Below are 15512 nucleotides of genomic sequence, written 5' to 3'. Positions count from 1 at the left end.
AGCTGTACCAGGCATCTATTTTTGAGTAGCTCATGTAATCTACCAGCAATCAAGATAATTAGTATTACATAATTTATCAAAATATGTGCCTAATTTAGCAATACTTTACTATTCAAAGAGACTCTATGTCCAGTAATATAAAATAATATGCCTCACCTAAGCAGAATGATTCTCATTATAAGGAAAGCTTAGAGAATTTTGTCCCTTGTCGTAAAACATGAGCATGTGGTAAAATGTCCATTTCCACTGATATATCTATGGATCCTTATACTTTTTGCACATATTTTTCCTTCTCTCTAATACCTCTAAAACCACAGATCTTTCGTCTAAATTTTTAATTTTGTAATTAGTAGCTTTTTGTTAATCTCCACCACTCAGTTTTTCTGTAAACCAAATTCTTGCTAAATCAATTCTTTCTTCCTCACTTTCCTGTTAATATCTTGAATGAATATGGTGCATTTTCAATTGACAAACCTACATTGGGACATCATTATCACCCAGAGCCTGTAGCTGACATTAGGGTTTACTCTTGCTATACATTTTATGTGTTTTGACAAATCTATAACAAGACATATCCACATTATTAGAGCATCACACAGAGCAGTTTCCCTGCCCTAAATATCTTCTGTGCTCCTCCTGTTCATCCCTTCCTCTTCCAAGCTCTGACAGCCACTGATCTTTTTACTGCCTCTGTAGTTTTTCCTTTTCCAGAATGTCATAGAGTTGGAATTGTACAGTATGCAACTTTCTCGGATTGGCTTCTTTCACTTAAGATGCAGTTAAGATTCCTTCCTCCATATCTTTTCTTGGTCTGATATATTATTTTTTATCACTGGATAGTATTTCACTTATGGATGTACCTGTTTGGTTATCCATTCACCTAGTGAAAAATATCTTGGTTATATCCAAGTTTTGGCAACTATGAATAAAGTTCCTGTAAATACTTGTGTGCAGGTTTTGTGTAGACTTATGTTTTGACTAATTTTGGTAAATATCAAGGAGCATGATTGCTTCATGTTATATTAAGTGTATGTTTAGTTTTGCATGAAACTGCCAAATTGGCTTCCACAGTGGCTGTGCTATTTTGCATTTCCATCAGCAGTGAATGAGAGTTCCTGTTGCTCCACATTCTCACCAACATCTGATGACGTCAGTGTTTTGGATTTTGATCATTCTAATAAGTGTGTCGTAATATCTTATTATTGTTTTAATTTGCAATTTCCTAATGACATATGATGCTGAATATCTTTACATGTCTTTACTTGCTATCTGTATATCATGTTTGTTAGATGCCTCTTCAGATATTTTGCACACTTTTTAATATAGGCTTTTTTATAATTGTGGAATTTTTTTTTTTTTTTTTTTTTTTTTTTTTTTTTTTTTTTGAGACGGAGTCTCGCTCTGTCGCCCAGGCTGGAGTGCAGTGGCGCGATCTCGGCTCACTGCAAGCTCCGCCTCCCGGGTTCACGCCATTCTCCTGCCTCAGCCTCCCGAGTAGCTGGGACTACAGGCACCCGCCACCACGCCCGGCTAATTTTTTGTATTTTTAGTAGAGACGGGGTTTCACCGTGTTAGCCAGGATGGTCTCGATCTCCTGACCTCGTGATCCGCCCGCCTCGGCTTTAAGAGTGCTTTGTATGTATATTTTAGATACCAGTCGTTTATAAGATATGTCTTTTGTAAATATTTTATCTCAGTCACACGCTTGTCTTCTTCACTTTTGAAGGATGATTTTGCTGGACACAGAATTTTACATTTGTATTTCTTTTTTTTCTTGTAATACTTTAAATATTTCACTCCACTCTCTTCTTGCTTGCATGGTTTCTGAAGAGAAGTCTAACATAATTCTTATCCTAGTTCCTCTAGAGGCAAGGTGTTTCTTTTCCACCCCTCTCTCTCTTTTAAAGGACTTCTTTTAAAACTCCCTTTCCTTTGATCTTCTACAGTCTAAACATGACAGGCTTAGGTGTAGATTTTTTTGGTATTTATCCTTCCTGGTGTTCTCTGAGCTTCTGGGATCTATGGTTTGATATCTATCATTAGTTGTGGAATAATTTTCAGTCATTTTTACTACAAATACTTCTTTTTATCTACTTTCTTTCTGGCATTTCTCATTACAATTTTTATAATTGTCCCACAGGTCTTGCATCGGCTGGTGTGTCTTTTTTCCTTCCTCTTTCTCTCTGCATTTCACTTCCAGATGTTTCTCTTAACATTTCTTTGGGCTTACTAATTCTTTCCTCAGCCCTGTCTGGTTTACTGAATGGCCCATAAATTCATTTCTGTTACAGTTTTTGTTTCCAGCATTTCCTTTTTATTCTTTCTTAGTGTTTTCATCTCTCTGCTTACATTACCCATCTGTCCTTGTAGGTTATCTACTTTTTCCATTAAAGCCCTTGCACATTCATCATAGCTGTTCTAAGTTCCCAGTCTCATAACTCCAACATCTCTGCCATACCTGAGTATGGTTGTGATTCTGATTCTGCCTCTTCCAATTATGTTTTATTGACTTTAGGGTGCCTTGTAATTTTGTGTTGAAAATCAGATATGATGTGCTGGGTAAAAGGGATAGCAGCGAATAGACCTTCAGTGTGAGGTCTGATATTTGTCTAGCTACGAGTTAGGTCACATTTCCTGCTTGCCATAGCTAGCTGATGTCCTGTGTTTTTGTTTCTCTTGTTGTCTTTGGGTTTCCCTGGAGACATCTTCTTAAATAGGTCTGAGACAAACAGTTCTGTCAGTCTTTTTCTTCTGCTGTTATACAAGAGACTTGTTGAAGTGGTGGTGAGGAGTTAGGAGGGGGACAAGTCCCAGAGTCCTATGATTAGGTCTTGGTCTTTAGTGAGCCTGTGTCCCCTGGCCTGTGACCTTCACAGATGTGTTTGCATTGTTTGATTTTTATTTGTTTGTTTTACTCGCCCTTGGATCAGCCATGTTCAAACCTTTGAATGCAATGACTTTTTTTGCCTATCTGTGGTGGCAGATATCATGAAAATTATGCATTGACTTTTATTTAAGCTCATCAGCTGTCACTAGTGTATTTTGTGTGGCCCAAGACAACACGCCTTAGATGGTTCAGAAAGGTCAGGGTGGAGATTTGGCATTTCCCCTCTCCTAGGTGGGTTAGACCCAGATAAAACCCCAGTAGGTTGGACTTTGATAAAACCACTTCTCTCAAGAGCAGGCTTTTCTAAGGTGAAATAAATGCCCTAGCCTATTTCAAAAAGACCCACTTTCACCTTCTCCTCCCACTGCTAGAGGCAGGAGGAGCCTTTTCTCTGACCTTCTCTGTGAGAACTGGTTGAGTTCCTGGAGGTAACACTTGGAAATGTATGCCCTCCCCGCTGTCTGTGACTGAGTCCTCCAGAGCTTTTGTGCCTCTGACTCCTCTGCACTGAGCGCGCAGCCACACCTCAATCGCAGCTTAGGTTTTCTGCTGGCACTTGTTCCCACAGAAGTGTCTCCTCCTGGACAGCTGCTCTGCTAAGTTGGTTCTCTATCCACACACCTGCCTCCACAACTTTTAGGGTACTAGTTTTCCCTGTGACCTCACTTCTCAGAAGAATCTAGGAAGAGTTGTTGACTTTCAGGGATTTTTTAAAGTTTTTCCTAAGGAAGAGGGAAAGACTTTCAAGACCCTTATACACTGAGCTGAAAATCAAAAGTCCTATCATTCAAACAGAAAATCAATATTGTTTGCTCTGTTACCAGGGATCCAATCCTAATTCTAATTTCTGAAAACAAAGGGGTTTTAAAATAATAACCACCTATGATTTTTCTGTTTCACATGGGCGGAGAGAGCAGAAAACCCTGTGATCAACAAATGAAGCAAGACGTCCACTGTCCATGACTGAAACAAGCTGAAGCCACCTGGTTGGAAAGGAAATGAAATGAAGCTTGGTAAAAGAGGTTTCACTTTAATTTTGGTAGAAAACTGGATAAAACATTTCTAAACAAGATTATCAGATAGAGCTTCTTAAATGACTTGCTTAGTGTTAGATGAGAAACGCTTCATGGCCCCAGAGGCCATGAACAGCAAGGGGTTCCCACTCTGCTTCCCATACAGTGGCTCAGCCACAGAGAATTAAGTCATCAGCCTTCAACATGCACATTCATTTGAAGAGGAGCCTCTGCGGCTATGAAAGCTTTGGAAATTCATTATTACAGTTGATCATTCGAGGCTTCCTTTCATCCTATAAAATCCATGCAATGCTATGAGGAAGATCAAATTATTTAGAGAAAAGTGAGAGAAACAAAAGCTCACTTAAGAGTCTAAATCCAAGTTCCCTTTAGAATTGTGTCCGAGGTAGGCTGTGCTGATAAATCTGGGCGGTCCTTTCCCCAACTCTGGGTGGCTTTACTTGAACTTACTCACCTGGATGAACCAGAAAATCCTTTTGAGTCCTTCCTCAGGAAACTGGGGCTGACTCAGTCAGCTGGCCCCATGTGGGCACCTGGAGGACACGCCCATCCCTCACCACCTTACCCTCCAGAGTTCAGATCCTGCAGCTTTGCAGGGGAAAATAACATGTGAGCCGGAGGTGGAAGCACTCACGTACACGTCACGTGATTCATATGACACTCGTGTACACATCACGCAATCCATGTGACACTCGCATACACATCACGCGATCCATGTGACACTCGCATACACATCACGCGATCCATGTGACACTCGCATACACATCACGCGATCCATGTGACACTCGCATACACGTCACGCAATCCATGTGACACATACACATCAGGCGATCCATGTGACAGTCACGTTCATGTCACGCAATCCATGTGACACGTACACATCAGGCGATTCATGTGACACTCGCATACACGTCACGCGATTCATGTGACACTTGCGTACACGTCAGGTGATTCATGTGACACTCGTGTACACGTCAGGCGATTCATGTGACACTCGCATACATGTCACGTGATTCATGTGACACTTGACCTGGACCTCCTGGGCTCAAGTGATCCTCCTGCCTTAGCTTCCTGAGAAGCTGGGACTACAAGTTTGTACCACCAGGCCCACCTAATTTTTTTTTTCATTTCTTGTAGAGGTGGGGTTTCACTATGTTGCCTGGGGTTGTCTTGACTCCTGGGCTCTAGCAATCCTCCTGCCTCAGCCTCCCAAAGTGCCCAGCTAGAAAATATTCTTTTAAGAAAATTGAAATACATGTACAAATGATACAAATCATGAAAACTTACACATCAAAATTATTAAAGTCCAACACTAAAATTACTGAAATATTATTGTACATGTAGGTTGCAGATATAAGATTAGATTTTTTCAAACGGCATCTTTCAATTTTCCCTTTTTTAAAAGAAAGATCATATTAGCATATTTCCTTTATTTATCAGAAACTGTTTCCTGGATACGAAAGAAATTGAAAACATTTTAATAACAGCCCAAAGTGATTTTTCCCTTCCCATCGTTTTGTAGGAGAGCCTGGGATTAATTATTGCTTTAATGACCAGCCTCTGGACTCCCGGCCAAGAGGAGGAGTGTCTTCAGGGCTGTCAGATCCGCCAGGAGGTGGTCACTGACACTGTGGGTCAGCTGGTGACACCCAGAACAGATTGCAGTGCAGAGCAGATGCAGGCTGCATGCTTGCCCTCCGCGCCCAGCGGGCTCCACTGCCACCAGCAATTATGGAGAACAACAGCACAGACCTGCCCCAGAGGCTACACAGACACAAACACACTGCTGCCCTGCCATGCCCTCCACTGCCATCTGTGAGCACTCACACAGCCCCACCTTCACAGGCACCCACCCAGCACACTGCTGCCCTGCCATGCCTCCCACCATTACCTGTGAGCTCTCACACTCCCACCTTCCCAGGCACCCACACACTGCTGCCCCGCCATGCCCTGCACTGCCATCTGAGTGCTCTCACAGCCCCACCTCCACTAGGTCCAGCACTGACCATGTGTCACATCCATTGATTGCACTGGAACTGCAATCTACATGGATCACTGCCACTGTCCTGGAAATCGGATCTCCCTCTGATGTGTTGGCAGCTGTGGAGGACCAGGAGGAAAACCAAGGTGACTTTCCACAGCCCTGCGTCCCTTTCACCCACAGCCAGGCTGCTCCAGGCTTCATGGACGCCTCGGTGCCATGACTCTGGGATGCCACCTCAGACAGTTGGATTCCAGCAAAGCTTTGAAGCATCAGTGTGGAAACTGCTGTGTGCAGTGATCATATTAACCTAAGTATTGCAGGGAAACCAATGTCCCAGTCCGACAGGCTATCAGTGACACTCTACTGATGTTTGTGAGTGCCTGGGAACATGGCATTTCACATAAGCAACCTCGCCTGATCCTCACAACACCGTGAGATGAATATTTATGTGGACACCCCACAGATGAGGACAGCACAGCTGTCATGTAGGTAACAGGTGACTCAACTAAGCTTGGGCTGAGGTCTGCTTGGCTCCAAACCCACTCCCTCCCTGTGGTCAGTGTCTACACACCCCTGCGTGCACGGCTCAGAGGGACCCACTCTCCTATTCCACCTGCTTCATGTTTTCCTTGTACTTATTCATTTCTCTTGGAATGTGTTTTAGTCTCCATCTTTCTGCATTCTTTCTTCTTCAAAGACTGCAATGGTCTCTCCCATGACTTTTCCCAAATATATTTTAACAATATTTTGTGGTGAACCAAAGATCTATGAAAATAGAGACCTGCACTAAGAAAGTTAGTTGTATTCTCTAAAGCCCCACCCCATCCCAGTGTAAAATCTAACAAAATAAAATATGTCCATTTAGTTAATATCTGTAGTTAGACAGTATAAGGAGAAAACCCACCCACAGGCACATGTATAATACATTCCCAAGGTGCACTCCAGGTGTGAAAATAGACCCTCAACACTGCTGTCTAAAGCAATGGCGTGAGTTCCCTGCATTTTTTTTATTTTTCTGCCATGATATAACAAATATCTGCACAGCACTCTGTGTGCCCAGCAGTGTTCTGAGCCTCACAAATGCTGACATTCTTCAACCACATAACAACCCGGTGCCTTCTGCAGATCGGGGACGTGAAGCCACAGCCCATGTGGCTGGTAGGGCCAAAACTGGGAGTCCAGCGGCTCTGCCCTCTGGGCAACGACCGCGGTGCTGGGACCCTTCCTGGGGCTGAAGGGCACGAGCCCGTCTGCTGCCTGCGGACATGAAGGGTGCTCTGCAAGACAACAGCTGGCTCGAGTTATTTTCCTGTACCTGCACTCACAGATTTCCACTGTTCCGATAACTCTTACAAGTGTTAACTGGTTTAATCTTCACCAAAATGTCTGGAGGAAGTAATGCTTCCCCTGGCACAGGCCAGGCCAGGGTTGGAGCTCATCAGTGGGAGCTTTCCCCAGGGACAGGGTTTCGAAGTCATGGATGGCCGTATAAATAATTTTTCTGAGCACTGGAAATATGAAAAAGGAAGCATGGAAGTGGAAAACTGGCTTCATTTTCAGAAAATGTTAGTGGAACCCCAATGTCTCTAGGACAATTATCAAGATGAAAACCCAGAATTATGACCAAAATTGCTTGGGTGAGGCTGAGAAGAGCAGCTTCGCGGGAAGGAGACATGGATGAATTTCATTTCCCTCTTTTCCTCCCCGCCAGGAGCAAGACCCCGTGAACTTATCTGCCATGGCTGCAGGGGTGCCTCCGCTTTGCCATCCACCCTGGGAACACAGCTGATGGACTCTGCTCTCGGCCACTGTCCTGGAGGGACCCCTTCCTCTGCCTCCTGTTCAGGTTCCTTATTTCTTTCGCAATTGTGGCAGAAGGTGCTGCTGTTTTTCACAGACATGAGTGGGACAGGGTTTCTCTCCTAATATTTATTTGCCCTCAGAGCAAGGGCTGTTCTGCATGGACCCAGGATTTTGAGGAATAAGAGGATGTCACTGCGTTTTGGGGGATTTGGCTGTCTGGCCAGCCTTTGAGTACCGAGTGGATACAATAGTAGCAAAGTGAGGTCCTTCATCACCTGCTGTTTGCACACATCCATTCTAGTTCAGCAACATTTTCTGCTCGTGTGAGCAGTTACCTTTCATGAAGCCCACGCTCATTCTGTTAAGGGATAATATTACGTGGTTTTGACCCTCAGGGTAGCCACACATCCCCTCTGCGATTGTCCATTTTACTCATTTGTTGACTCAAAAAAATGAGACAGGTGGCAGGGCCTGCATCGGGGACTTCTCAGTGACCCTCACCTGGATCCCAGTCAGGCTGGGGTCTCGGGGAAGCAGAAACCCAAGGCTGCCCAGCTCCCCAGGCTTCATCCTTGCTTGGAACCCAATAAGAGTTTCCCTTGCTCTTCCTCTCCCTGCTGGAACCAAATGTACGGAATTAAAATCTAGGGTTTTTAAATTAATGCTATCAATGGCCGGAGATGCCAGTTCAAGCATCAAAACCACGTGACAAGCAGCCGTCCACTCAGGCCTCTGCATGTGGTCCCCGAAGGCCAAGACCAGGGAGAGAGCCGGAAAATGAAGAATTGGAGTCTCACAGATGGGCACCACCTGCGCCTCAGATATCGAGAGAAAGGAGGAAGCCGGAGGAGGAAATGAAGTGTTTAGACTTTAAACATCAGAGTGGAAAATTGAAATAAATTCATTACATCAGCCTACCCTAGTTTAAATAACAGAAATGTATTCTCGACAAGCTTTCATCCTTTCCTTTCAATTTATTACATTGATTAACACCCCAAACCATTAATTCCATCTGTGTTTTGTTTTCCTCCTCTCTTCCTGCTGTCACACAGTGCTCTGGGGATATGACATCGTTCGTTTTGAAAATCACTGGTTCAAAGAGAAGATTTGGAAAGTGTGAAAAAAATAACTCTTTGAACCATACTCGTTTAAGACACAAAGAAACACCGAGGGTAGGCCATGCATTAATGTAGCTTTAAATAATGGTAATTTTTATGATTCCATAAAATATTAAGGTTTCCCATTTCAGAAACTAGCAACCAAGGGCATTGTCAATGTAAATGTAAGTAATTGAACCTATCTAGAATATTGAAGAGGATTATTTCAGGCCATTATTTCTCATATCCTGCACAAATATTTAGTAGTAAAATACCATACTTTACTCTATCCAAAGGCCACGGATATCATAAAACAACTGATCAGCACATTCTCCCTGCAGCTGGTAGAGCCATCTCACAAACGACCTGGACCTTCAGGAAGAAATGGAATCAGCTGTTACAATTAGCCCTGAGGAAAGATTGATTACTTGAGGTCACCTGCGCTGCATAATAAATGGGCCTGGGAGTCTCCTGGGCTTGTGGGGTGGAAGCCTCCATCCCTGAGTTCCCTTGATCTTAAAGACGATCTTGATTTTCAGTGCTTTCACCTGGGCACAGGTACATTCGTGATTAAAATCAACTGTGTTAAAAGAAGACACATAAACATCTTACGTGACCTTGGCATTTCAGGATCATTCACAAAGAAATTTGCATCCTTTTTCTTTATCTTCATAGCAGTTCTGTGCCATCATTTTCCCTCCTTTTACAGATGATGTTCAGAAAGGGTTATGTCTTCCCCAATGTGTTAGACCCATAGCACCAACAGAAGCAGAATTTGGAGTCTGTTCTTGTGATTATGCATGTAGGATTTTTTTTTCACTTGTATTTTCCAAGCACTGTCTTTTTATTTTATTTTATTTTTTATTATTTTTTTGAGATGGAGTCTCACTCTGTCACCCAGGCTGGAGTGCAGTGGTGCAATCTTGGCTCTCTGCAATGTCTGCCTCCTGGGTTCAAGTGATTCTCATGCCTCAGCCTCCCCAGTAGCTGAGACTACAGGTGTGCACCACCACACCTCGCTAATTTTTGTATTTTTAGGAGTGACGGGGTTTCACCATGTTGGCCAGGATGGTCTCGAACTCCTGACCTCAGGTGATCCACCCGCCTGCTTTACACCAAGTTCATTCAGGAAATTGCTAAGTGTGCATTTGCTGTTCTCAAACCATAAGCATGCCTCCAAGAAAAAGAATGAACAAAGGGAAAAACTACTCTGGTAAAAGTGTAGGATAAAGAGCATTTCATATTCAAGATGCTCCTCTGCATCCTGGGACTTCTCTGCTGCCCCCTCCCCTTCACCAGCCTCCTTCCATGCCCTTTGAAGAGAATGTGAATACACGTGCATGTGGCATAGCAGGTATATTGCACAATATTATTTGGAAATACTTTCAGGTCTCATGCCCAAGTTCTTTGATGTGTGTTATTTAGACTTAAGAGCAACGGCTGAAGATGAAAGAGTAAAAAAGTCCCCTTGTGCTATTTCTTGTAAAAAGTCATAATTGTGTGTCATATGTGATGATAAAGTGAGTCAGCAAACACAAATATCTCCAGAGAATCCTTTATTCTGCTATTTTCCACCTAGTGAAATTGTCTGATGGAGGGAAGGGGATATTAACTAGAATTCTGATTCTAAAGAAACCATGTTTGTTTGTCAGTGTTATTTGTTTCGGGAAACCAATAAGAAATCAAGTCAGCCAACCCTTTAACTATCTGGAAAGACATTGCAATGCATTAAGAACTGAAGTATTGTAAGTCAGTATTGACCATCAGGACTTTGAAGCAAAGAATAGTTGTCCATGTCTTCAGACAGGTCAAGGAGTTGAGAGGAAAACATTCGGGAGTGGGCACAAGATGATCTGAATATGGGTTAAAAGATGCAAGCTGTGTGGTCAGCCGCAGGAAGGATGCCTTAGGTCTCTCTTTTGCAGAAATAAAAGATCAGGGCAGTTATGTGAATCTATGAAATTTCTCATGGCTGTTATTTCGGGAATGTATTGGAACCTTACATTCGGGTCATGGCTCTGCTGCTATCTGGCAACATGACACGAATCCAGACCTCACACTTCACCTTCGTAACCTCAGGGGAAAAATGAGGATGATAAGGTCTTTCTGTCCACATTGTATGTTCATTCTGAGGAAAGAAAAATTCTGATATGTTTATATGTGTGTATATTATGCACACACATAGGCTTACTGAAGCTTTGAGTCACTATTTAATGTATTTTTTGCTTATCTCAAGAAGGCTTGTAGAAGTTCACAAAATCTACCAATTTCAGGCTGCAGGATAAAATACCAGCAGGGCGTAGTGGTAACAACCCCAGACTGTGAAGTTAGGATGTGCTGAATGTGAATCCTGACTAGTAACCCGTGTGACTTCTAGCAAGTTACCTAAGTTGTCTGAGCCTCTGAAATGAATATTGTTTCAGTCCTGCCGCCATCGAGGTCTTGTGCATTAACTGAGAGTCACTATAACATTTAAGCTCAGAACCATACCTTGAGCAGAGCAAGCACTGCCCCAGTGGTAAATATCAGCCTCTGCCCTGCAAGGACACTTGTGTCCCAGGTCAGTGCCCGCACAGCCGCAAAGCCACAGAGAGACGTGGTTTTGCCTCCTGTGGTGCTTGTGATCTATGGAGAGACAGACATTGAAGAAACAAGCAAAATATCACACAGGAGACCTGTAACATTGTAGGACTGATGAGAGCAACAGTGAGTTGGGGGAGCTTTAAGCAACTCCAACAAGAGGACCCTTTCTGGCCTTGATTGAGAAAACTCTTCCTCCTGGCACACACATGCCATTTGGGTGTGGGGACTCACTGCGGAGGCAGCACTGCCCCTTCTATCCAGCCAAGGGCTCCTTTCTATGCCTCACCCGTCTCCCCCCGACCCCTATAGGTTCATGCCGGGCTGCAGTTGGCTTTGTAGCTGCCTGTTCCTCCTTGCAACCTCTCTGCTGGTGCTTTGTTTTGTGGGAAGAGCAGGGACTGAGCATGAAGTAGCTGGGGACACCACAGCGACATCTCCTGATGGGCACCGGGCGAGATTGGCTCCTGCTCCTGAAGCCTCTTCCAACTGCTGCTCATCCCACCACGTTGCAAAGCTGCGCTGAGGCACTGTGGGAAACAGGCAGGAGGTGAGGAGGCTCATCGGGGAATGGCAGCTTACCAGCACTGCTCACTCGCAGCCCTGCTTGCAACAGCAGAGTGAGACGTGCTGGAAACCACGCTGGAGTTAACGCACTTGTCGCTGCGAGCCTCTTCTTTAAAGCCCCTCTGTGATGAGAAACAAAGGCTTTCTCGCCTAGCCGTCGCCCTAGCATCATCTATTATGCATCGTCTTATGCAAAATAAATAAAATACAGAAAACAGCAAGTATCTGTGAAAACAGCATTTTCATAAATTATACAAAAAAGAACCAATTGGAGGAACTTCAAGAAAAAGGTTTGCCAAAATTTCGATCGTAACTTTCAAATTAGGGTCTAAATGAAGTGTTCAAAGACAGTTTTCAGTTTTGTTTCCCCACTCCACCAACATCAGAAGAACATTTAACAGACACGTTACTTTCCGGCCACCATACCTGCCCTTGGAGTGAAACAAGGGTTCATGTATACGAGTCTCCCAGACAGCACGGTTGCTCCGTGTGATGATGGAGCTATTGGGGCCATTAATAAATGCTGACCACCTTGTGGGGGCTGTGTGTGTGTGTGAAGCTCTTCTGAAGCACCTTCCTTCGGTGACTCCACCCCCTGATGGGTTTTCTGCAGATACAGAAATAGGGCAACTCTGGATTAGTGCAGCACATTGTGTGAAGCTCAGAAGTTTCACAGGCAGAGTCCTAGAGCTGTGTTTCTCGATATAGTTTAAGCACTCAAATATCTCGGGTATTGCAGAGAGGAAGTGAGAGAGCTATGTGCCTTCTCAACCCTCGCTGGGAATTATCAGCAGAGCTGAGCTGTGCTGTCATGGGAACAGGGTTGTTGAAGCCAGCCCTGAAGAGGGATGTTGGTTTGATTGTGGTCCTCAGTCTGAGTTGGACTAGAAGGTTCAACATTCTAAAAGGAAAACGCAGAAGCCCTGTCTTTCTGAGGCTTGTCTGCAACATACGCTCATTCCTTCCAAATTATTTGCTGGAAAAAATTTAATAAATAATCATAGAGTAATTAACATGTTCCAGTTCCTGTCTATACTGGTTGATACTGATTCAACGAGTATGAATGAACTTATGAGGTGGGTGACGTTGTTATCCCCAGTTTACAGATGAGGAAACTGAGGCACGGTTTAACTTACCCGAGGTCATAGCAGTAGAGTTAAGATTTGAAATCAAATGTCTTACTCTCTCTCATCAATGAAAACTGAGCTACGATCTATCAGCTCAGCACATAACAACACAGGATCATCCTAATTATTTCCAATGTCCCCCAGAGTGATTCTTTTTTCTTATGATAAAAATTATCTGGAAATTTCTAGGCACATAAGCAGCTGAAAAGGTTGCATGTGAGGCAATGAATAGCAGAAATATTTGTGTGCCATTTTTATATCAACATGTTAATGTGTGCTAATGAATTTTAGAGTGGATTTTTTTAAAAACATGACTATTGTAATTAAAAGCTTATGTGATTTAAATACAAGATGCAATGATGATTACCAGATTCTATTCCTCTTTATATTTTACATAAGACTTCCAGGGTTCCATAAGTATAATCTTGAAACATAGGACATTCCTGGAAAAAAAAATTGCTTAAAACTATTTCAGTGTGCAATCCACCTCTTTGTAAATGTTACTTTCTTCCATCCAAATATTACATTTGGCAACAAAACTCTCCGCTGAGAGCTTTCTCTTCCTTTTGTGTCATTGTTCCCTAAATAAAGCAACACATGAAATTCCTGACGGCAAAAATCAGACTCAGATCCCAAAACCTCTGTCTTTATGCAAGATTTATCTTTTGCATTGGAAACGGCCAAGGAATATGAAGAGGGGAAAGAAGAGGCAAACAGACAAGCATGCAGGCTCTGAGGAATAAATGCCCCTCAGGACGCTGTCTCCTGGGGAATTGCAAACCTCAGTCCGTTTCTGAGGAAGTGCGGTCTCTGCATTTCTGAAAGAGGTATTTCCCCCCCTTGACACAAGGAGCATGGTAATGAATTGACTAGTTAAAAACTGTTGGTTGGAAAAACCCGTCCCTGTGTCTTTCTGAGCAGGGCGAGCTGAGCTGTCCGCGAGGCTGCGGCAGGAGGCCTCGTCCTCCCGGGCAGGGTCCCTCCTGGAGGCTCCCCCGGTCTCTCCCAGACGCACCCGCGCCGCGTCCTTGTTCCCCGGGAGCAGCCTCCCTCCAGCCGCCGGTCCTGGGAGCTTCACCGTCCAAACGGGAGCTGAGTTTGCAAGCGGCCAGGCGGCGGTGCGGCTGGTGCTGCTGCTGATGTCAGAGCCAGAAAGCAGTTGTGATTGGATCTAATTAGACGCTGCTGCAGCAAATAGACAAGCTCCCTGCGTGATTGGCTTCAAAGTGGCTGGTGCCAAACAACTAGCAGAGGCGCAAAAGTAGCCTCCCTGCGCTGGGAGCCCAGAGCAGGAGGCAGAGCCCGCGGGAAGCTCGGAGCACTCAGGACGCCGCGCGCCCTTCCCCGCCCTCCCTGACCAGGGAGCAGCTCGCTCCAGGCGCCCAGCCGAGGCCCCCAGCCCAGTGGGAGCAAGTCATAGAGAACAATTCGAGAGACAGAGAGACGGAGCGCGCTTTCCTGCTCAGTCCTGAAAAGTGAGCCGCTCCCGGGTTTGCAACCTCAAGCTTCGCAGCAGCGGCGGCGGCGGCTGCCGGGAAGGAGGCAGGTGCAGGTGCAGGAGGGAGGCGGCTCTGGGCTCCGCGCCTGGGTCTCGGCCATGGCCTCGGTCCTGGGGAGCGGCAGAGGGTCTGGAGGGCTGAGCAGTCAACTCAAATGCAAGTCCAAGAGGAGGAGGAGGCGGAGGTCCAAGCGGAAAGGTAAGGACCGCGTGGCGCGCCGGCCCCTGCCCCCCTTCACCCCCGGCTTCTCCACCCCGGCCTCTCATGGGGTCTCCGGGCTTGTCCGTTGTGAGCAGCTTCACTTTGGGGTGCTGGCGGGATGGCTGCTCCGTGCAGGGCGCTCGGGAGTTCAGATCCCGTGGAAATGTCTGGGGCCTCCTCTTGCCCAGAGGGGACAGTGAGCAGCCACGCTGCGACATGTTTGAGGGACCCGGACGAAGTGGGGCGAGGGCGGCGAGGAGCTCCCCGGGGACCCCGCGCGTCTCCGGGCCCCGCAGTCCCCAGTGGCCGGCCGGGCTGGCACTGCCTTCCACCCTCCGGAGGCCATCTCGTCTCCCAGTGCCAAAGGAATTACCCAAAAACGGGGGAACGAGCCCTCGCGCCAGCTACTCCCATCCAAACTGTCCCGGAGGAAGGGATAGGCGAAGCCCTGCGATCGCCTCTCCAAATTGGCTGGCAGTTTTTACTCAATGTGGTGCCCGTCGATTTGTAAACATTGGGTCGTAAAGAGAACACAGGGCTCGTCCTTGGAGAAATAAGCAGAAATGAATACAGGAAAACAGAAAGAAGCATCATATTTTGTTAGTGGTAGAAAAAAACCGCAAACCAGGAAAGCAGGAAAAGCAGCCGGCTGACAGCGGCCACTGACAAACTCAGCTGTGCCTTGTTACTGATATTCCTGGGGCTGGGCCGCGCTGAAGTTAGTCAATGCTAC

The 15512-nt window shown here is 45.4% G+C and overlaps 1 protein-coding gene and 1 long non-coding RNA gene across 3 annotated transcripts in view, besides 4 other annotated features; both read left to right on the top strand.

Moving 5' to 3' along the window:
• Nucleotides 1–8214, top strand: part of LOC105376345 (uncharacterized) — a 28677-nt gene extending 20463 nt beyond the window's left edge. The window contains exons 4-5 of one of the 2 annotated variants that reach the window (XR_930537.3): nucleotides 3805–3900; nucleotides 7617–8214. This is a non-coding gene — a long non-coding RNA (uncharacterized LOC105376345). Of the gene's footprint in view, nucleotides 1–3804; nucleotides 3901–5443; nucleotides 5774–7616 lie in introns of those variants that run through there. The other variant, XR_007062033.1, reaches the window with a different exon arrangement.
• Nucleotides 3578–4777: an enhancer, noted in NCBI's record as "BRD4-independent group 4 enhancer chr10:1789244-1790443 (GRCh37/hg19 assembly coordinates)". NCBI's record gives its function as "activates an origin of replication core promoter dependent on BRD2, P300/CBP, MED14 and CDK7 cofactors, and independent of BRD4, by STARR-seq in HCT116 cells {active_cell/tissue: HCT116}" and the evidence as "EXISTENCE:reporter gene assay evidence [ECO:0000049][PMID:35650434]".
• The window catches only part of ADARB2 (adenosine deaminase RNA specific B2 (inactive)), a 560213-nt gene continuing 559002 nt past the window's right edge, over nucleotides 14302–15512 (top strand). Inside the window, exon 1 of the mRNA NM_018702.4 lies at nucleotides 14302–14776. Within this exon, the coding sequence (NP_061172.1) occupies nucleotides 14677–14776 (100 nt within the window). The 5' untranslated portion in view covers nucleotides 14302–14676. The remainder of the gene's footprint in view (nucleotides 14777–15512) is intronic.
• Nucleotides 14353–14412: a silencer, noted in NCBI's record as "silent region_2068". NCBI's record gives its function as "represses an Ori minimal core promoter by ATAC-STARR-seq in GM12878 lymphoblastoid cells {active_cell/tissue: GM12878}" and the evidence as "EXISTENCE:reporter gene assay evidence [ECO:0000049][PMID:35858748]".
• Nucleotides 14353–14970: a biological region, named in NCBI's record as "H3K4me1 hESC enhancer GRCh37_chr10:1779051-1779647".
• Nucleotides 14374–14970: an enhancer, noted in NCBI's record as "H3K4me1 hESC enhancer chr10:1779051-1779647 (GRCh37/hg19 assembly coordinates)". NCBI's record gives its function as "activates a minimal SCP1, AML or CMV promoter by ChIP-STARR-seq in naive H9 embryonic stem cells {active_cell/tissue: H9 hESC(naive)}" and the evidence as "EXISTENCE:reporter gene assay evidence [ECO:0000049][PMID:30033119]".

Source organism: Homo sapiens, chromosome 10 (genome assembly GCF_000001405.40).
Source record: "Homo sapiens chromosome 10, GRCh38.p14 Primary Assembly".
In the NCBI taxonomy this organism is placed as follows: Eukaryota; Metazoa; Chordata; class Mammalia; order Primates; family Hominidae; genus Homo; species Homo sapiens.
The sequence above is the reverse complement of the archived record's forward strand: the minus strand, read 5'-3'. Positions and strand labels throughout refer to the sequence as shown.